Consider the following 21,892-nt stretch of genomic DNA (forward strand, 5'->3'; position numbering starts at 1 on the left):
TGTAGTCCCAGCTACTTGGGAGGCTGAAGCAGAAGAATCACTTGAACCCGGGAGGCAGAGATTGCAGTGAGCCAAGATCATGCCATTGCACTCCAGCCTGGGTGACAGATGAGACTGTCTCAAAAAAAAAAAAAAAAAAATACGCTCTACTCTTCTAATTTTCTAGGTTATCCCCAGGCAGCATTTATAACTTTTATAATCATACAAAAATAAACTTTATATTAAAATATACATATTTTGCATATTTTAATACTTTTCCCCAGCTTTAAGAATATCTGATAAAAGAAATTTATGTTACTCTAACGAGCAGCTGCTATCTTGGTTAATTCATATTTTTTCACAATTAATAATATAAACATTAAACAGAAACTGGTGGGAGCAATTGTCCATTGGGTAATCAGTGGGCGAAACTGCCCATGAAATGAAAGCAAAACAAAAAACAATATGAAAATAAAAACAAAAAATCCACAAACTACATCAGAAATGAATTTCCTCTTTGGGACATGCTGAAAAATATCCTGGGTAAAATCAAGGTATTTTGCAATTATTTTTCAAGTAAATATTGTACAGAGGGACGCAGTGATCAATGCTGCTTTCCTTTACTGCTTTGCAGGCCTGTCTAGAAACTTTAGTGGCCAGAGAGGCGGCCTGCAGGCTCAGGGATAACTGTCTTGCCAACAAGGAACTTGTTAAGTTCCTTGTTGCAGTTTCCTACTATGAAAATGTGGGGTAGTTTTGTGGGAAACTGTTAGTTCCCTAGTCAATTTCTGAAAGATCTAAGAGAATAAGGAAGTTCACCAAATCGCAAATTACGGTGGGGTTACAGCCACACTGCAGATTTTTACAATGTGGTACCCAGAGTTGATTAGGATGGGGCCCACTGTATCAATTACACTTAACGGTTCGTTGCATATAGCAGAAACCTACAATAACAAAGGCTCGAATACAAGACATTTTATTGTTTCACATAAAAGAAATCCAGAGGATAATGGGTCTGGGGTTACCTGGCCACTGCTCATCCCTGCTAACTCAGGCTCCTTCGACCTCTTCACCCTGCCTCTCCCCAGTGGTGGCCACCCCCAGCTGCAAGGGCGATAACACACGTGGAGTTGTTCTAGGAAGAATTATTTTGTGCCCAGCTGAAAATCAGGGGCTTGATTATCAGGGAAGGGGGAGAACACATGTGGGGTTAGGCAATCAGCAGTCACTGCCGTGGCCATGACTGGAGCATGTCGAATGTTCTGAGGCCTCCAGGGGGTGCATGGCAGTCTCTCAGTAGTGTGCAACTTGGCCTTTCTCGACCCAGAAGCCTATAAACAGATAATAAAGCAATAAATTAGCTGCCACACACAGCTCGGTACCCTACAGTAGAACAGGGGCAGGATAATAGCAACAGCACCACCATTCCAAGAGGAGCAGACAGGAGGCACACAGGGGCCCCTGCCTAGCAATAAACCTTCTGAGCATGCAGTGGGAGGCCTTTCCCCCTGGTTTTCTGGTTTATCCCTGGGGAACCTCTCTACTCACTGTCCTCTGGGGCCCCTAGCTTGTGCTCAGAGAGACCCTCTGGTCTCTCACTCTGGATAGCTGTGTATGATATGGGATTAGGGACATGCCCTTAGTGGGGTCTGCACAGCTCCTCCTTCCCACTTGCTGCTGCTGAAGGTTGGAGGTTCCACAGTTGAATAGTCGAATGCCTTTAAAAAAATTGAGATGTCGTGGGGCACAGTGGTTCACGCCTGTAGTCCTAGCACTTTGGGAGGCTGAGGCCGGAGGATCCCTTGAGCCCAGGAGTTTGAGACCAGCCTGGACCATGCAGTGAGACCTCAGCTCTACAAAAAAATAAAACAATTAGCTGGATGTGGTGGTACGTGCCTGTAGTCCCAGCTACTCAGGAGGCTGAGGTGGGAGGATTGCTTTAGCCCAGGAGGTCGAGGCTGCGGTGAGTCATGAACTCACCACTGCACTCCAGCCTGGGTAACAGAACCAAACACTGTCTCCGAAAGAAAAAAAGAAAAAAAAGGGAGGGCGGTGAAATTCAGGTAACATAAAATTACCATTTAAAAATGAACAAATTCAGTGGCATTTAGGACAACCACAACATCGTACAACCACCACTTCTGTCTGGTTCCAGAACATTTTCCTCACCCCAAAAGGAAACCTTGTACTCATTAAGCAATTATTCTCATTCCCACCTCCCCCCCCAGCCCCTGACAACCGCTAAACTACTTTCTATCTGAATGGACTTGCCTATTCTGAATATTTCATATCAATGGAATCATGTAGTGTGTGTCCACTTTGCATAATGTATTCAAGGCTTGTCCATGTTGAAGCATGTATTAATATTTCATTCTTTTTATGGCTGAATAATATTCCAATTTATCCATAAAATATATTTTTAACTCATGGTTTCTTTGACAATTCAGGATCCACAAAAACACAGTCAGCTTCTGACCTAGTTGCTTCTCATCAGCTCCCTGGCTGCAGTCACACTGAATTCTTGCCAAGACCTATGCCTCAGACCTGCTTTATTGCTTTTCTTTTGTGCCCCTTCCCTCACTCTCATTTGATGGAATGGTGGCTACCTTGACTCTTCCCGGAACACCATATGGCAAACGCCAGTCCTTTCCCTTCATCTCATTCTGAGCCGCTTCAGACCTTGACCACTCAAAGGCCAGCACAGTCTCATCTCTAATATTTGGGCTTTATAAGCAGTCGACTTTTCTGACTTTGCAAAGCCCTGAATTTCTGAACTCTATTCCTTTCCTAAGAACAACAATTCCGTTGACTTCTAAACAGCATTGGTTGCATCACCAAGGGGAAAAAAATAAACCAAAAAAACCCAAAAAACCCAAAAACCCCAAACCTCTGCCAGTTAAACCATGTCATGCCGTATAAAGCAAGTGCCATTACAATGTGAAAAAGAAATATGCACCGCAGAGTTGACGACGTGCAGTAAAACAGTACCGATATGAATGGCTGACATTAGTTGAGGTTCTACGCTGTGTCAGGCATTGTGAATCTTTTGAGAGAGATGTCAGAATTGTTATCTTTCTTTTACAGAGGAGGCAGTGGAGGCAGAGTGAGGTTCACACCCAGCAACCCTCACTCAGAAGGCTTCTGCTTGGGTAGAGCTTGCATTGGCCAAACCTCATCCACTTGCCATTCATTCAGTCATTCAGTGACAAGTGTTTATGGTCACCTGTGGGAGTGTGTGTGTGGGAAGGGTGGAAAATTTCCCTCTTGGTGTTTTCAATTTAGTGGAGGAGTAAAGCCTTGCAGCAAAATATGAAAGATCATTCAAACATTAGGGACTCAAGTGAACGCAAAGGAGTTGGGGAAAGTTCCGCTTAGGAAGTGACATTTGAATCTGGTCTTCAAGACGAAGAAGGAATTTGCTTGGAGAGAGGGGCTGGAGGAGAAATGAGCAGGCTGGGGGTGGGGGGAGCACAGGTGTAGGCAGGGAGAAAAGAAAAGGGGCTTTTGGTTTGAGACCCTGCGAGGAGGCAGCATGGAGGAAGGGGCTGCAGGGAGCTTTGGGGTTGGGGAGAGGATGCAGCTGGAGGAGTCCCTGATGTCACTTGGGTATTATTAATGTCAATAATCAGCTTATATAGAATGACCTTCTCACTAGAATAAACAGTCATAACTGTGGTGCTTTAATCAACATGACAGCATTGGAGAATCTACTCAAACTCACTTGGGTCTAGAGGGGATCAGTTTTTCCCCAGCCAAAGCCCAAGGGCAGCCTTGCTCCTCTCTCCCTCCCCTGGCTCATGTTCCTCTGTGTACAACTGTGTCCCTCCAGCCCATGACCTATAGAGAATGCAGACCACCCCTCTGCCAGTGTTGGAGACCAGATCCCATGGAAGGGCACTCATGTCCAGCCTGGGGCCCCCTGCCTTGGCAGACACTACTACTTGACAACAGATACCCCTCTCCCCTTCTTGCTTAATTTAAAAAAATTCTATTTCAGATGGCATTGTGTCAGTTGAAAGATCACATTTTCTAGACTAGTCTGCAGCTAGGTGAGCCCAGGTGATCTAGTTCCATATGTGGAACCATTATGTGGAATTTTCAGTAGGCTCCGTCACGGTGGGAAGAGATGGCGTTACACATTTTTCTGTCGTCCCTCACTTCCTCCTACTGTCAATATGGGGAATACGGACTTGCTGGCTGGAGTGCCAGCAGGCATCCTGGGCTGTGAAGCCACTTTGAAGATGAAAGCCAGGCTCTGGGATGGTGGATCAGGAAGACAGGGGCCCAATTTCCTAGCAATGCTTTGGGGCTGCACCCTTGGCCTGTGCTTCCTATGCCAGGCTACTTTTACATGAAAGAGAAAAAGAAGTCCTGACTTAATGCATTGCTGTATTTTTCCAGAAATGTGCAGCCAGACCTAATGATAGGTGGTTTAGGGTGGGAAGCAGAGTAAGATGACAGAACTTTAGGACCACATGAAGGGAAGGAGAGGGTCCCCCAGGAAAGGGTGCAGTTTGTTAGACAGAACAATAGCATATCCGTTACAAAGAGCTGCCATTTGCTGGGCGCTAAGGGCCTGGCCCTCTGTGAACCTCACCATCTGCATCATCTCACTTCATCCTCACCAGGGTGGGGGCATGAGGACTCTCTCATGACCAGGGCTATTCTCAATTTACAAATGAGGAAACAAAGGCTCAGGAAGGGCTCTTTCTCAAGGCCACTGAGTTGGGAGCTACGTTCCACTCTGGGTCTGTTTGTTTCAGGGACAAACCTTGAAGCCACACAAGGGCCCCGAGAAACTGTGCAGATGTGAAACCCAGAGTGGCCCGATCAGATCTATGACTTTGTGTCATCACAAAAGTGAAAGAAGCAGTTCACAGAAGGAGTGGAGTGTGCAGGTCAGAGGCAGGAAGGACAGGCAGACACTGTGATGATGATAGGCTGTGAAGAGGTGGGCGATGCCTGGGATGGGAGGGACTGTGTTGGACCCAGTGCTGACCTGAGAACCTCCTCTCAGGCCCTCAGTCAGGCTGGCCCCTGTTAGACATGAGATTTGACTCACTGGTTCCCATTAACAGCCACTAGAGATGAATGCACTCTATCAAGTCCATGTCTGATTAAATTCAACAACTCAGGAGTAGTGGTCAGGAAGTGTGCTGATTTTTTTTCAATACAGGTAAAGTTTTTAATTATGAACTTTTCAGAGGGCAAACTCAGATTGCTTAGGGTGTATTTGTCCTTGTAGTGTTTTTGAGGGAGTCATTAGGGGCATGGAATAATTAAGTGAAAATTAAGAAGCTATGAAAGAATCACTCAGCTAAGAAACAAGATGGTAGATCAGGCTCCGTCTGATCTCTTGGCAGTATGCATTAGACCAAAGGGTTATTTAGGTGTCAAGGATTTTGTTTTGCCAGTTATCAAGCCTAAGAAACTTCCCAGTTACATCAAATCAAGCAAAATGATGAAGGCTATCATCCACCCTTGCTTACAACAAAAAGAAACCACTTATAAGTTCTTCCCGTTAGCCAAAACTGAAGAATTTAAACTGCCTTGGCTCTTAATAATAGTTTTACTTTATGGTTTTCTTGCTAGTATTTCAAATACATAGTCTGTCTTCACCAAACTAGAAATAGTTGATACCAAGAAAAACGTGTTTGCCCGGACTGAATGATGTCATTGCACACTCACGGACCATGCACTCTTTAGCAGCACCCATCTAATTCCATGCTGACCTGCCTTCTCCATTTGTAGGATAACTGCAATACTCAGAAGCCGGCTGGTGGATCCCAGGCCTCTATCATTCAATTGCCATCACTGTACTTGGTGGGGCCTCAAAGGATGCTCCAGATCCCATTTTCCTGCTTCTCTTTTTGAAAGCATTGTCTATGGGTGCTGCACCCACTCCCTGCAGCCAAGCTCCTGTGCCTCACTCATGGAGGCTGCCGGGGCCATCTCCCTGGTCACCATGGCCTCCATGTGGCCAGGTCAGTGCATCCTGCTCTGCTCCTGTCTGACTTGACCTCTCAGCAGTGCTGGCAGGTGGACCTCTCCTGCCTTCTTGATACGCTCACTCCTTGGCTTCTGAGCGGTGATTTTCTTGGTGTTCTTCCAACCTCACCCTCACTGGCTGAGGGTGCTGGGTTCCCTTCTCATCTTTCTCCACATATTCTCTCTCTCTCTCTCATCCAGGCCAGGTCTTTAATTCCATCTGTAGAACATTAACTCTTGAATCTGCCTCTAATATTGACTTTTCCCAAGAATTCTAAGCCTACTCAACATCTCCACATGGATATCTGATAGGCACGTCCAAATTAAGATGGCCAAAACCAAATCTGGGATTTCACACCACCCATCTCTGTAAGTGGCACTCCTCAGTTACTCAAACCAAAAATCGAAGGATTATGCTTGATTCATCTCTCTCCATCACTGCCCTCGAACCCAATCCATCCAACAACTCTATCTCCAAAACATTACTCAAACAGGTCCTCATCTTTCTGTCTCTGTTACACTCATCAGACCCCAAGGGGACCCACTGATCTCCCTTGGTTCCACTTGGTCCTACACAAGGGCTTCACACTTAGCAGTAAGAGTTATCCTCAGAGGCTGGGCATGGTGGCACATGCCTGTAATTCCCGCACTTTGGGAGGCTGAGGCAGCTGGATTTCTTGAGCTCAGAAGTTCAAGACCAGACTGGGCAACATAGTGAAACTCTGTCTCTATAAAAACTACAAAAATTAGCCAGCAGTGGTGGTGTGCATCTGTAGTTCCAGCTATTTGGGAGACTGAGGTGTGAGGATCACTTGAGCCCAGGAGATTGAGGCTGCAGTGAGCCATGATCACGTCACTGAACTCCAGCCCGCAACAGAGCGAGACCCTGTCCAAAAAAAAAAAAAAAGAAAAAAAAGAAAAGAAAAAAAGAAAAAGTTGTCCTCAGAAAATTCAAGTCAGATCATGTCACTCTCCTGTTTAAAAGCCTCCAGTGTCTCCTCATCACACCTGGCACAAAATTCAAGCTCCTTCCTTGCCACCTTCTCCAGCCCCATCCCATCTTCTCTTGCTGTTGCTTACTAAGCAGCAGCCATCCTGGGGACTCTTACTTGTTCCTTTGTGTCTTGGGGTCTTGGCGACAGCTGCTCTCTTGTCCTGGAATGCTGCTGACTGGCTCCTGGACATCATTCAGATCTCAGCTTAAATGGCACCTCTCCAGAGTGACCTTCCTAGATGACCTGCCCATCTCAAGTATTTCCCTCCTACCCTATGCTAATTTTTTGCACTGTTCAATTCACTAGCTTGTACTTTTCTCATGTACTTATTTTCTGTCTCACCCTCCTAGAATATAAGCTTCACGAGAACAGGGATCTTTTGTGCCTTCTTCTTGCTGTGTCCCAGGACCTGAGTTGGAGCTTGGCATCTGGTGTGTATTCATTAAAGATTAGTTGAATGGTTGAGTCCCAAACTTACTGTCTTTTGCTCCATGTGTTCTGATATCTTCTTTATTATGGTCTGCTTTGTTGAGTAATGTGTTATGATCATCGAGATTTACTCATAGGCACTGAGTTTCAAAAGATGATGCATATTTAGTGTATGATTCATTTATTTAAAATTCTAGACTTTTGACTGCAGCCTGTGACTCAAATACTGTATTGGTGGAAAAACTTTCAAATCATCAACCACACGTATTTGGGTTTTACCAGCTCCATGGCACATACGAAAAATAGCCAGTACTTAGAGATTGTTCTTATTATCATCCTAGACATTTGTGGATATTAATTTTTAATTCTTATATAACCCTATGAGTATGAAACTCTTATCCCCATTTTGTAAATTGGCTGAATGTGTCAGTTCTCTAATGCTGTGTAACAAATTCCTGCAAATGGAGTGACATTAAAACAAACCCCATCTATGAGTTCACAGTTCTGTGGGGCAGAAGTCTGGGCAGACTCCACTGGGTTCTCTGCTCAGGGTCACACAAACCAAAATCAAGATGTCAAAGGGGTTGGGTTCATGTCTGGAGGCTTTAGGGGAAAATTGACTTGCAAGCTCATCGGAGTTGTTGGTGGAATCCAATTCCTTCTGGCTATAACCTAGAGGTATCTGTTTTACTGCTGGCTGTCAGCTGGGGGTTGCTCTTAGTGCTTAAAGACCTCCCGAATTCCTGACACGTGACCTTCTCCTGCTTTGCGTCTCTGACTTCCTCTTCTGCTTTCAGCCAGAGAAAACGCGCTGCAATTTTTTTTTTTTTTTTTTGAGACAAGGTCTCATTCTGTCACCCATGCTGGAGTGCAATGGCATGATCACAGCTCACTGCAGCCTCTCTGAGTAGCTGGGACTACAGGCATGCACCACCATGTCTGGCTAAATTTTTAATTTTTTTTATAGGTAAGGTCTCACCATGTTGCTAGCTGGTCTTGAGCTCCTAGATTCAAGTGATTCTTCCGCCTCAGGCTTCCAAAGTGTTGGGATTTCTGGTGTGAGCCACCACGCCTGGCCAATGCCTTGCTTTTAAAGGGCTCACCTGACTGGGTCAGGCCTACTCATCTATTCTCCTTATTTTGTGGTCAGTTAACTTGGACTTTATTATACTTACAAAATCCTCTTGCAGTATTACCTATTATTAGTGTTTGACTGAAAAAGCAGAGACAGGAATCTTGGGGAAGTATCTTTAGAATTCTGCCCACTGCCCTGAGGTTCAAAGAAGTTAGGTGATTTATCCAAGGTCATACAACCAGCAGTGGAAACCAGATTCAAATCAAGGCATTCTGGCCCCCAGAGTCTATGACCTTGAATAATACCCTGCAGTGTGATGAGAATCCAGTGCTGCATTGGAAATTCTGCTGGGCAGATTTTCTGACAATCTGATGTAGCCATGCAGGTGAGACGCACTGGGCTACTTTGTTCATAAGGACCGGAACTATCCATGGTGCCTTGTCTCCTCACTCCCATCACCTCCGATGTAACCGAAGACAGACATGACCAAAGAAGTCAGGACTCTGCTTTTCAATGGATTGAACCCACGGATGCTGCACCATTTTCCACGAGTCAGCAGCACCATTTCCAGGTTTTTGCTGCCCCCAGAACTTGGTTACCCCTCAAATCCTTTCATCATCAGCATGAGTGAAATCAATGTGACTCCCATTAACAAGAATATTATTATTGTGCACATGAGAATTAAGCCCAAAATGCAATCTGTGCTCACACAGGTTTGATGATGGATGGATGCAGTGGTGTGCTGGCAGTGACTTGTTCTGGGTTTTGGAACTAATTTGTTCATCTCTGCCCAACTCACTTTCAGTGAGAGCATGCTGGTAGTTTGCAATTGGCAATTGGGGAGAATTTACACTAGAGAAATCAGCAAACACTACAAATCAGGGTTTGCTTTATTCATTTATATTTGAAGATGTGATTGCTAAACATTTGCCAGCACACCTCTGGATGGATGGATGGTAGATGGAAGCGGTGAGAGCCAAGAGAGCTTGGGGATTCCAGCTTTCATAACCAGAAGCATGGACATTCTTGGAATGCTTATGGGGGTGTGGAGGGAGGACCCCCAGCATCAGCCCAGGAGAATGAGTCTTGTGAGCTGGGAGATGAAGTCTCTAAATAAGTGAGAAGGGAGGTGATTTGAGCTAGGAATCTTGGCAAATAGCCCCAGGGCAGAGGCAGAGGGGAGGAGAAAAAAGAACCATCAGAGCCAGGAAGATCAGTGGAAAACTGGAGGCCTCACAGAAAGCAAGGGCCTTGCTTGAGCAGAATGATGCCTCTTGAGTTTCTTAAAAAGGAAAAGGTAGGGGTAAGGGGCTGTTTAATCTATTAATACTTCAGCCCACTCTCAGCACCCAAATAATAGGGTGGGTGCATCAAATCTTGGTAGCCATATACATAAGAATACTTGTAGGGGTTGTTTAATTTAGGGCCTTATAAAGACAATAAAATGACTTATTGAGAATCACTAAACCAACACCCAAGTATTTAATGAAAATACTTTTTAGCTCATATAGCTTGAGACACCAAACTATGACTATGTAAATAGCTATACCATGTTTATAGATTGGAAGACTTAATGTAGTAAAGAAGTAGATTCTACACAAATTCATTGATAGGTTTACTGCAGTTCCTTTCAAAATCCAAGGGGGGGACATTTTGTAGATACAAATGAACTGATACTAGAATTTATATAGAAAAAAACCAAGAATAGCCAAAATAATTTTGAAAAAAGAAGAATAAAGTTGGAGGAAACATACTACCTGATTTTAAGATTTAACATATAGCTGTATTAATCAAGATTGTGGTGTTGGGAAAGGAATAGACTGGTAGATTAATGGAACAGAATTGAAAGTCCAAATATAAATGCACATAATATGGCCAAGTGATTTCTTTTTTTTTTAGACGGAGTCTTACTCTGTCGCCCAGGTTGGAGCGCAATGGTACAATCTCGGCTCACTGAAACCTCCCTCTTCCAAGTTCAAGCAATTCTCCTGCCTTGGCCTCCCGAGTAGCTGGGACTACAGGCGTGCACCACCATGCCTGTGTAATTTTTTCTGTTTTAGTAGAGATGGGGTTTCACCATGTTGCCCAGGCTGGTCTCAAACTCCTGACCTCAGGTGATCTGCTTGTCTTGGCCTCCCAAAGTGCTAGGATTACAGGCGTAAGCCACCATGCCCAGCCAGCCAAGTGATTTTTTTTACAAAGTCCCAAAAACAATTCAATGGAGGAAAGATAGACTTTTTAACAAATGGTGTTTTATTGGATATCCTCAGTCAGAAAACTCCTCAATCTAAACCTCACATATTGTGAAAAATTAACTTAGAATTGATAATATGCCTAAATATAAAATGTAAAACTCTAAAACTTTTAGAATAAAACAGGAGAAAAATCTTCATTACTAGAGTTAGGCAAATATTCCTTAGAAGACCTAAAGCACTATCCATAAAAAAAAGATAACATCAACTGGATTTCATCAAAATACTTTTATTCTGCAAAATATATTGTTAAAGAGGATGAAAAGACCAGATATAGACTGGGAGAAAATATTTGCAAATTACATATTTGATCTAAAAAGTTGTACCTAGAATGTATAAAGGTGGCTCTAAACTCAACAGTAAGAAAACAAAGAATCCGATTAAAAAGTGGAGAAAAGAATGAGCACACGGAAAGATGCTCAGCATCATTAGTCATTAGGGACATGCAAATTAAAGCTATGAGGAGACACCATGACTCACATGTTAGAGCAGCTAAACTAAAAATACTGACAATACCAGCAGGGGAAAGGATGAGGATCAACTGGTCTCTCATGCATACATTGCTGGCGGAAATGCAAAATGGATTGTATGGTCACTTTGGAGAAAGTTTGACAGTTTCTTATAAGGGTAAGCATACAGTTACCATATCACCCAGCAGTAAATTAACTATTTACTTTAGACAAAAGAAAAACTTACATCCATACAAAAACATGTACACAGATGTTTACAGCAGTTGTGTTTGTCACAGCCAATGTGGAAAACAAAACAAATTTCCCTCAACAGGTGAATGGATGAACAACCTATGGTATATCCATAAAATGGAATAGTTCTCAGACATCAAAATAAATAAAATCCCACAACATCACCAAAGGAGACTTTAGTTTCATCTGTAATGTTTTAAGGTTTTAAGTAGACAGACTATTTTCATGTTCTATTTGTTGTTGAATTTTTAAAATTGATGTTTCTTTTATTACAAAGTATGAAAACTACAAGAGCATATCTCTGTGCCTGGTCAATGTCCTGTCATGTAGATAGATTCTCCCTCACCATAGCCAAACCCTCTCTTTGAGCAGTAGGTTCTAGCCTTCTTTCTACCCCACCAAATTCCTTCTCATTCTCTCTTGCATCATCAATTTTTCTCTTTCTACCAAATTATTTCTATCAACAAGTACACGGATGGGCTATTATTTTTCCCATCTTAACAAATAAGGAAATCTCTCTTGACCTCATTTCCCCCTCCAGCTATAGCTTTATTTCTAGAAAGCAGTGTCTGTTCTGTCTTCAATTTCTTTCCCCTTTCTCTCCTCACTCAATTCAGAGTTTCACCCCCTCTTCCCCAGCAAATCCTTTTTTTTGCCAAATCCATGTATACTTTTCTGTCTCCACCTTACATGACCTTTCAGCAGTGATTATGCAGGTGATCAGTCTCTCCTCCTTGAAGCACCTTCTTCACTTGCCCTTGAAGGTCCTACACTCTCCAGGCTTCCCTTCCACCTCACCAGCCCTTACTTCCCCCACTCCCATCTTTGCTGGCTCCTCCTCACTCCCTGACCTCTTAAAGCTGCAGGGCAGGGCTCAGTTCTTGCTTTCTTTTTCTACGTTCATTTCTGTGGTGAACTCATGCAATTCCCTAACTTTACAGACTACATTAGATCCAATTTAAGATGTCCTCAATTATAAGATGCACCATTAAGTTAAAGTTCCACTAAGGAAGAAGAAAGCACTGCCAATTAAACTCTTTTCAAACTCTTTTTTTTTTTTTTTTTGATATGGCTCTGTCACCCAGGCTGGAGTGCAGTGACAGTCTTGGGTCACTGCAACCTCCACCTCTCAGGTTCAAGCGATTCTCCTGCCTCAGCCTCCCCAGTAGCTGGGATTACAGGTACTCACCACCATGCCCGGCAAATATTTGTATTTTTAAGTAGAGACAGGGTTTCACCATGTTGGCCAGGCTGGTCTCGATCACCTGACCTTGTGATCCACCCACCTTGGCCTCCCAAAGTGCTGAGATTACAGGTGTGAGCCACTGAGCCCAGCTGCCAATCAAACTCTTACATCCTATCATCCCAATTTCAGATGTCTCTTTGTTCTCAGAGTCCCTAAACTGCTCTGGAGTGAGTGATGATGCTTCTCCTTCCCAGCACCCCTCTTGGGGAACAGGGTTCGCACCCTTCCTTCTATCTCTTTCCTTCTAACTCTCTTCATCACCCAGCCTGTGGAATCCTTATATGAGCTTGGGATGGTATCGCCTGTTTCTACACCTAGCTTTGCCACATATGGTTGGGCACATCACAACTTGTATGGATTTACTCCATTGGGTTGTGCAGTATATAACCTGTACAACTATACATTGTTGCCTGACTTCACCCATTCCTCCAAGGTTTTTTATTTTTCTCTTTATAATACTGTCTTAGTCTATTTTTTGTTGCTGTAACTGAACACCTGAGGCTGACTAGTTTATAAAGAAGATAAATTTATTTTTAGCAATTCTGGAGTCTGGGAAGTCCAAGGTTGAGGGGCTGCAACTGGTGAGGGGCTTCTTACTGGTAGGGACTCTCTGCAGAGTCCTGAGATGGCTCAGGGCAACACACGGTGAGAGGACCCACCAGAGACGGCCAAAGTGGCTTTCATATGAGACCCACTTTTGTGATAACCCATTAATCCATTAATTTATGAATGGGTCCATTCATGAGAGCAGAGCCCTCATGACCCAATCATCTCCGAAAGGCCCCACCTCTCATATTGCTCCATTGGGATCCAAGTTTCCAACACATCAACTTCTGAGGAACACATTTAAACTACAGCAAATACCTTGTCCTGAACTTTTGAAACTTTAAAGCAAGAAGGAGACTCTTTAGTTCTGTGCATTCTTCCCTGTTATTTCTTGCCTGAGGCAATCGCTGTAGCCTTGGGGTTTTTGCTCCAGTTGGGCACCCCTGAGCTTACCACGGTGGCTAGAAAAAACATGCCCTCACTGACATAGGCCTGGGAGCCCATCTAGGAGCCATTCACAGTGGCAAGGGGTGGCCCTTATTTTGCATAGCCAATGAGAAGACTCCCCTGGCTATGAGGGTGGAGTCCATCTTAACCAAATGTCAAGGTTGCTGCCAAGGGAGGAGGAATGGAATGAATGTGGGGGAACCCATTGGGTCTACTCCACAGTGTCAAAGGCAGGGATAGTATTACTGGGATGAAAGAGACTTGAGCCTGTGTTTAGGTCTACAGACAGGAAGCGATTAAAGACGTTGGAGGAAAGAGCCTAAATTTGGTTAGGAGCAAAATCCTAGAGAACAAATGAGGTGTACGGGGGAGGGTCTAGATTTGAAATGAAGGCATGAAACTTCTCCTGGATGGAGGATGATGAAGAGACCTGCTTTGAAGGTGTAAGCGAAGGAAGGGATGTGAGGGCCTCTAACAGTCTTGTGTCCTCCAGGTAGGAGGAGCAGCGCAGCTGGAGATATTGGTAGTGTGGACAGCTTCATGGTACTTTCTGGGAAGTGTCCAATGTGTAATTTTAATTGGCTCTTTTCATTAAATAGAATTGATATTATTTTAAGAGACAGATCACTTGAAAATTAGGATTTTGATTCACTTCTCAAATGAAGAGAAAGTGCCTTTGCCTCATGTATGTGTGCAGAATTTGGGAGAATACATCATGAGCTCAGGGAATGTGTATGCGAAGATGTTTGAAAAGTCACTTGTGGGAATTTGCCTGGCTTGGTGGTTAGGAATGTGGACTCTGAAGCCAGGAGGCCTGGGCTCACATCCAGGCTTTGCAGCCTTGGGCAGGCTCCTGAACACCTCTGTTTCTTTGCTAAACAGTGGGCAGGATATCACTATTTTTGGTATAGACCTACTGGAAGGATCAGAAGACTTAATACCTGTGTGTGTTTTGGAGAGTTATTGGCACATATTAGATAGTTTTACTGTGAATCATCATTATTTATAATAATTCTCTGACATGCTGGAATGTACACTGTCTTTAGAAATGAAATTTGTTTTGTTTTCCTAATTTCGTGCAACCTACATTTTTCCAGTGCTATTTTCTTTGGGGAAAGAGCATGCAGATGTTCCGTGTTTTCAATGTAGCGGTGTATAAAATGTCATCATTGTTTCCTTTCTGGTGGAATATTAAGAGCCAGCTTAAAGATAATCTACTCCCAGAAAGTTCCATATTAGCAATTATGTGGGGCTGGTGCTCATATGCCTCAATGAATGATTTATTTATTAGTATATTGGGAATGGCCTCCCTCTTCTCACACTAGCACCTTTTCCCCACTTTCCAGCCCATTTCCAAATGAGAAGGGCTGAAGTCAATCAGGAATTAAGATTTAGCATTTGTGGGATTATCTTTGAATGCGACACTGGGGGGGACACAGTTTCACTCACTCTCCATGGTGGCAGTCCAAATTGCTCTTTCGGGACCCTGGCTGTGTCTAAAGCCTCAGAATGATCCAGAAGGCTCCTATAACAGTGCCACTGTGGAAGAAACCACTTCTAATATGGCAGGAAGGTGTGGCCCTGCTTGGAGCCCATGTTTTCTAACTATTTCACATTTCTTTCTTTCATCCCTGGTGTTATTTTTTGAAATTAATTTTTATTTTCAGTTCTCCTAGGAATTAATGAGTTAACTTAATAAAAGTAAAAGTCTTCATAAAGAAGGTAAAGGCTGGCTTTCCACATAGAGAACAAACATAACAACCCACATCCTCTGCAGAGCTCCTGGTCAATGCATTCTTCTAGTGGGGCTGCCACACCCCTGGGGCCTCAGGCAAGCAAGCCCCTTGTGGATGACAGGGGCTGGGCTCAAAGCAGTCTCTGGGGCTGTGCCTCCTTCCTGTTCTCCACTCTTTTCTCTAAAGGAAATGCACTGCAATGAATTGCACAATACAGACATTCCTAAATTCTGGAAAACCAGCAGGCTTTGAACTCTCCTGGGGGAAAAAACCCATAAAACACAAAACTGCAAGGAATGAGACTATTTGGCCAAATGGCCAATATGCTACAACTTTCATAGGGAACTCACCGCACTTGGTATTGCCTGATGGAAAAAAATGCCCTGAATTTCCCAATAAAATATTTGAGATGTGGCAAAGGAATAAATATTTTTTCCCTAAGATAAATCTAGCTGTAGATGAAAACTGGGTCTCATGCCTCGGACAAAATATTATTTCCTTATTTACTCTAAGTCTATATCAGAATATAGCCTACACAGCATCAGGTACTAAGCCAAAAAAGGCTCCAAGGGCACCATTGTTCATCCATGACTTTGACTGTGTCACCCCCCAGAAACCTTGAGTTGGGCAGATGTAATCACAGCAGCCTTTGGTGGTTTCTTGAGCAGCTGCTAAGGATCACATGGATTCTGCTCACACCCAGTGCTTCTCATAATTTAAAAATGCTTGAAGCTGTGGGAGGCTGCCCAGCCCTCTGCATTATTCAAAAGAAAACCAGGAGGCAGCGACAATTCTTGATTCTTGCAGATAAACATTCTCCAACAATTATTAAGAGTTGGATTGCTCTACCTTCATTTAATTCCTTGGTGCTTTACTATTTGAATCTAGAATATTCTTGAAGTCTGAAAGATGGATAGAAAAGAGGTAAGTCATGTAAACTTATAAACAGGGCACGAACCCCGCTAACAGACAGCTTTGAAGAGATGATGATTTTAGATCTTGTGAATTGTTATGTCAGAGGAATACATGCAGAAGAAAACAGGCACCGAAATAGTTATTACCAGAGCAAAGTAAATCTGAACACCTAAAAGAATAAGAAAATATCTTATGCTTCTCTCTACTCTGAACTGCCTTGAAAAGAGCAAGAATTTCATACATGAGCCTGTAGCACATTACAAAATCTGAGTATGTATTTGAAATTCAAATGCACACAAAGTTCATGCATTTTATTTTCCAGTTGTTCTCAAGACTCCTAAATAAAGCATTTCCCCTGTGTGGGCGACCCCTGGGTCCCATGTGGGGTCAGTGTTTGGGTCTCTCTGAGAGGATCAGGAAGGCTGCTCTTCCAGGAAGGGCTGCAGGGACCCTGGGAACCGGACCAGTCCAGCTCACAAGTATGAAGAGAATGTCGGGAGAGGAAGTGGTGGCTATGAGTCAGCATGAGTCATCTCGTTCCAATGAGAATGAAGGCTGAGGTGTGCGCCTTTTTTTTTTTTTCCTTCTTAGTCGTGTGTACATCATTGGGAATGGAGGGAAATAAATGACTGGATGGTCGCTGCTTTTTAAGTTTCAAATTGACATTCCAGACAAGCGGTGCCTGAGCCCGTGCCTGTCTTCAGATCTTCACAGCACAGTTCCTGGGAAGGTGGAGCCACCAGCCTCTCCTTGGTGAGTATGTTTCTGTCATTTTTAGGGTTGCTTCTGCAGTTTGCCTTGGAGTCTGGGCTGTGGGAAAGGCTGCTGCGTCCTGGTGAGGACACTGCGTTTCTTTCAGACTTTGAAGATCTGTCGTTTTAGAAAAGTGGCTGCCTCTGTCACCAGCCCCATGGTTACTGTCCTTTAGTGTGACTGTCAGGAGGTGTTTCTCAGTCCTTCGTTGTAAGAATGTAGATGCCGGTTGCACCTTCTGTTGTCTTGGAAGAGACTGCAGTGCTTGGCTGGAAAATAAGCTGCTCGGGACTCCTCTGAGAAGCCAAAGTGAAGCTCAGAGATGGAAGTGGGTATACTTGTGCTAACCCAGGGTTGCTGAGGTTGGGTGAGCTTCCGCTTCTCCGAGGTGGAGGAGAGGCAGCTCCTGAGCCATTTCTGGCCTCGTGGTCAGAGCTGCCCAATTTCAGTGTGAGAAATACCAGAGAGGCAGAACTTTGGCTGCCTTCTCTAAAAGCATATGAATGATTGCAGGAGCGTATTTTACGTCCTTTCCTTTTCCTTAACGTTGAAAGTCACAAACTGTAGTAAAATCAGGAAGAACGTAAAAATGCTGGGGGCCAGCGCTGGGGGTGGGGGACTGGGGAGGACTGAGGAGGGGGCCACTCAGTCTTTGAGGCCTGACTTGATCTTGATAGGTATTTCTCAGGCTGTTAGTATTCCGATGAAGCTTAGCTTTACTGTCAAGTAAAATACAGGAAACATTTTTTTTTAATGTTGTTCTAGTTACTGTAAATGAAACGGTTAAAATGTCATAAATACCTTATGATAAACATTTTTCAAATTTGCTTAAAAAGCAACACATCAGTAGGCAGGGTATGACAGGGAGCTTTTTCAGTACAGTCATTTGAGTGTGTGGGCTTCCTGAGTTAATAATGAGTCAGCACCCAATTCTAAAATTGGAGCAGCTAAGAGAATGTTCAATCTGCTCCTCAGCACAGCACGGTGGCTGGCCGGCCCCCCGTAGGAAGGCTTGGGGTTAAAATCGACTTAGGATGCCGCCCTTATGTAAGTGACCAGCTCCCAGCTTGGGTCCCAGCTCCTCTGGGCTACTGCTGAGAGACCCCCTCTGCTAAGGGATCTGTCTCTGAGGCAGGAGCTAACACATTTGGCTTCCAACCTTTGGCTAATGTTGACGATTTTTAGGTTGTCTTGAGGCAACAGGTTGAACATAGTTTCTGAAATGAAAAATCTAGTGTTTATTAAGGCTAGGGCAGCTGAGGGCTGAGCCTGCATCTGGAGCCTTGAGATGTTCCGCTTGCACGTCACCCTCGCCGAGGGATTGGGCGGGAGAGTCGGTCACCGAGTGAACTTCAAAGTTGGCGCTCTGCATGTGACGTGTAGCGTGGGAAGATTAAGTCAGCTTAAAATGAGAGAACAAGATTCCAAGGAAGAAAACCTCCCCAGAACCTTACTCGTTTATAGATAAAAGAAGATAAATATTGAGAAAATTAAAAAAATAAAACGAAATAGTTGGGCTGCAAACCAGCAGCTCTGGGACCAGATGCAGCCCTGGTGAAGGCATCCCCCACCAGGTTCTGTTTGGCCTGCTCAGGATTGTTTTTTTGTGTTGAGATAACTGTGGGTGGGGTCCACACTCTCCGGATCTCAGGCCCTGCCACACCCTAATGCCACAAAGCTTGGAGAGTGCGATTACAGCGAGGCTCAGAAGCCAGGCTGAGGGCCTGCCAGCCTCGTGGGGCTGCTGTGTGGTCCCCATGGGTTAGCATCTGCCCGGCCGCCGGAACAGGGCCTGGATGGAGAAGGAACTCCATCAGCACTAACTCTGCTAGACTCTCTTATTAATCTGCCCTCTGAAGGCATTTGGGCTTGTGGCCCTTGAGTTAGTTCCATGGCTTTTTCAAGAAAGATCCTGCAGTTCCAATGTGAGCAGCAGTTGTTTCCAAGGCTAACAATTTCACGCCAACTAGAAGCCTCCACAAGTCAGGTGCCAGGCATTTCTAAGCCAGTAGAGCAGCTCCGCTTGTTTCTCTGGGTGAGTCCTCTCAGGGTGAGACCCTGTCTCCTTGTAAGCACTCGGAGACGTGCCACCTTCATGGAGACGGGAGCCAATCAAAGGCAAACTGCGTTAGACAGCTCTTCCATGCGGTATGGACACCAACATTCGATCATCCTTGTTTCAGAGAAGGTGCCGGGCCCCAGACATGTGCTTATCACTGGGTCCCATGGCCTTCAATCCTTTAAAGGGTTTTAAGGTGGCTGATTTTTATCCCAGACATTGATCATGTTTTTTTTCATGCAGAATTTGGGCAGTTGTCTGGACATTAGGAGTTGAGTCACCTCCTACCCATGAGGAACAAGCCTGTGGGGGGACTGATATTATCACTTCTGTCATCAAGAAATAAGGCCGCAGGCATCCCTGAATATAGAGCATTTATTAATCGAACTGTGAAAATGAAACACAGACAGTGATGACAGCTGGAAGTTGGCCAATGTCCTGTTGTCATATTGCCCTCAGCCTAGGGACTGGCCTGTGGCTCACTGACCCTGTCTCCCACTCTCCACCTCTCATCAGCAACTGGACCTGGTGCACCTGGTCTACCTCATGTCCAGTGTTTTCCGCAGTACCTGACTGGTATCCCCACCCTTGGTTGTTGTGTGGTGAGCTCGTCCCTATGTTGGCAAGTTACTTAATTCCTAGGTGTCCCGCCTTCCTCACTGTAAAATGAGAAAAGTCATAGCACGAATGTCATGAGTCCTTGTGAAGATTTTATGATTAGCACACAAGTTACAAGGAGACACGATAACTGTTACGTACGTACTCATTCGTTCGGAAATATAACAGACAGCTTAGTATCTCCACCCGGGTCCCTCTGCCCTGTGGGAATCCATAAAGAATTGATTCTCATCCCCCAGAAGTGAGATCCCGCTTGTGTCATCAATTACATGGCATGTTCTGCATTTACAGGACATTTATTTATTAGGTAAGTGGGGAATCCTCCTTGGTTCTCTCCAGGAAAACCTGGAGTTCTAGTTATCATCATCATCATCATCATCATCACTGTCATCATCATTGACATCATCACAATAAGAACTCCCATTGTATTCAGCCCTAACCGTATGGTAGCAACTTTATGGTATTCCCTTTAACCTCCCCCCACCCCAATATCCATCCTGGAAGATGGGAAGGATGATAGGTTTGTTGACTCACTCAAGGCGGTGGGACTCTCCAGCAGGTATCAGGCACAGCATCTGCTTCAAAGAACACATCGGCGACAGGGGAGCCCCTTGCACTCACTCAGGACAGGAGAATCAGGAAAAGCAGCAGATCTGCAGGGCTTTGTGTGTAATCCAACCAGACTGATGCCACAGGCCAGGAAACCGAGGACGGTTGGCTTCAGACCTACCCTGGAGTGGAAGCAGCTGGATTCTGTCCTCACGCTTCCTGTCTAAAGCCAGCTAGAGTAAATTTCTAGTCATCTAGATTCTGGTTATTTGGAAATCATCACAGTATCTGGAGATGACTCATATTGAAAAAAATTAAATAAGATACACTTAAAACTTAACCCAGGGTGAACATAACATGGCCTTTCCTTGTCAATTCTGAAGAAGATCATTCAAGTTTGTGCAGTGCCTTAGAAGCCAGATGCTCTCTTCCATTCTGCCAGGGTCCTAAAGAAGTACTACTGTGTCCTTTAGATCACTCTGCCTTGATCACTCTGTCCCGTCACTCTGCTATTTCACCTGTCAGTGAAATACCTGGTATCGTCCTGCCAACATGAAGCATTGAATGCTTTATACGTCTCCATCCTGATTGTTTAGGCTTTGAATGCTGAGAAGTATCTGCACTTTGTTGGTCAATTGTAGATGGTGCTAATTTGTGGGGAGTTTTTCCTGCAAATTCCCCCTGTGCCATAATCCAGAGGACCTCCCTCTGCCCCCAGTGCTGTAGGCTAGGCAGCTATGGGCCTGGCTCAGGGCTGTCGGGCAAGGATTGGACTCTCTATAGGTTCCGTTTGGTTCTGGTTAGATCACAGAGCTCAGGCAAGGAAAAGCCGACAATAGATCAGAAGGAAGTTGAGCGCTCAGGAAGGAGGAGTGGGCAGGATGCTTGGTGGTGTCAGAGGATTCCTTCGGATTAAAAAAAATAGATGTTATTGCACTTTGTGTAATCAGAAAAGCTAAGGTTGACAGCAGATCTTATCCACTGTGGTTTTCCTGCTTATCTTTTGTTTTAGGAGTGATAACCCTGCGAGTGAGGGCTTCTGCTACAGGGTCTTGTAGCTCTTCTCTTCATCCTGCCCTTTAAAACATTTATTGGACTAAAAATCACAGGATTTTTAATGATGACAGAAAATGTATTATTTTAGCTGTTCTCACTGGACAAATCACTTACGGAGTGTTGATTAATACATTGATAAGTTTCTATCAATTCAGCTAGATACAAGGGAAAATGTATAAAATAGCAAGGGCTCCGAAAAGAGTCAGGCTTAATTTCTCTTGCACAGAAAAAGGATTCTATTGCTCTTTCTGTTCCGTCCTCAAACAGGAAGCAGGTTTTCTGGGACAAGGGTCAACAGGCAGCCAGTTCATCCATCTGCCTACTCAGCCATCCTTAGCACTGGCTTCCTTCCTCCAAGTTATCTTATGCTTCAAGAAGGCTGCTGGAGCTCCTGCCATCACTTCTGCATTCCAGACAGAAGAGAGGAAGGAAGTGGAGGGCAAAAGGCAAAGCCTCCTAGATGTCAGACTCCTCTGCAGGCCTTTCCTTGAATTCCCAGCTAACCCTTTCAGCCTAGTCTTTCACTGGCCACCCTATCTGTAAAGGAG

General features: G+C 44.4%; 3 long non-coding RNA genes across 6 annotated transcripts in view, besides 1 other annotated feature; 2 read left to right on the forward strand and 1 right to left on the reverse strand.

Annotated features, from left to right (window-relative positions):
• Nucleotides 1-939: 939 nt before the first annotated feature.
• LINC01943 (long intergenic non-protein coding RNA 1943) lies at nucleotides 940-20,513 on the reverse strand. Its single transcript, NR_187136.1, has 2 exons — nucleotides 20,274-20,513; nucleotides 940-1,310 (listed from the first exon to the last, which is right to left on the reverse strand). It is a non-coding gene; the product is annotated as a long intergenic non-protein coding RNA 1943 (long non-coding RNA).
• Nucleotides 16,844-21,892, forward strand: part of CYTOR (cytoskeleton regulator RNA) — a 66,092-nt gene continuing 61,043 nt past the window's right edge. For all 4 annotated transcript variants that reach the window (NR_024205.3, NR_024204.2, NR_146461.1 and 1 more), the window contains exon 1: nucleotides 16,844-17,062. This is a non-coding gene — a long non-coding RNA (cytoskeleton regulator RNA). The remainder of the gene's footprint in view (nucleotides 17,063-21,892) is intronic.
• NCAL1 (NK cell activity associated lncRNA 1) overlaps nucleotides 16,896-21,892 on the forward strand; it is a 282,375-nt gene continuing 277,378 nt past the window's right edge. The window contains exon 1 of the long non-coding RNA NR_186253.1: nucleotides 16,896-17,062. This is a non-coding gene — a long non-coding RNA (NK cell activity associated lncRNA 1). The remainder of the gene's footprint in view (nucleotides 17,063-21,892) is intronic.
• Nucleotides 18,125-18,710: an enhancer, noted in NCBI's record as "H3K27ac-H3K4me1 hESC enhancer chr2:87756227-87756812 (GRCh37/hg19 assembly coordinates)". NCBI's record gives its function as "activates a minimal SCP1, AML or CMV promoter by ChIP-STARR-seq in naive H9 embryonic stem cells {active_cell/tissue: H9 hESC(naive)}" and the evidence as "EXISTENCE:reporter gene assay evidence [ECO:0000049][PMID:30033119]".

Source organism: Homo sapiens, chromosome 2, assembly GCF_000001405.40.
Source record: "Homo sapiens chromosome 2, GRCh38.p14 Primary Assembly".
Classification (NCBI taxonomy): Eukaryota; Metazoa; Chordata; class Mammalia; order Primates; family Hominidae; genus Homo; species Homo sapiens.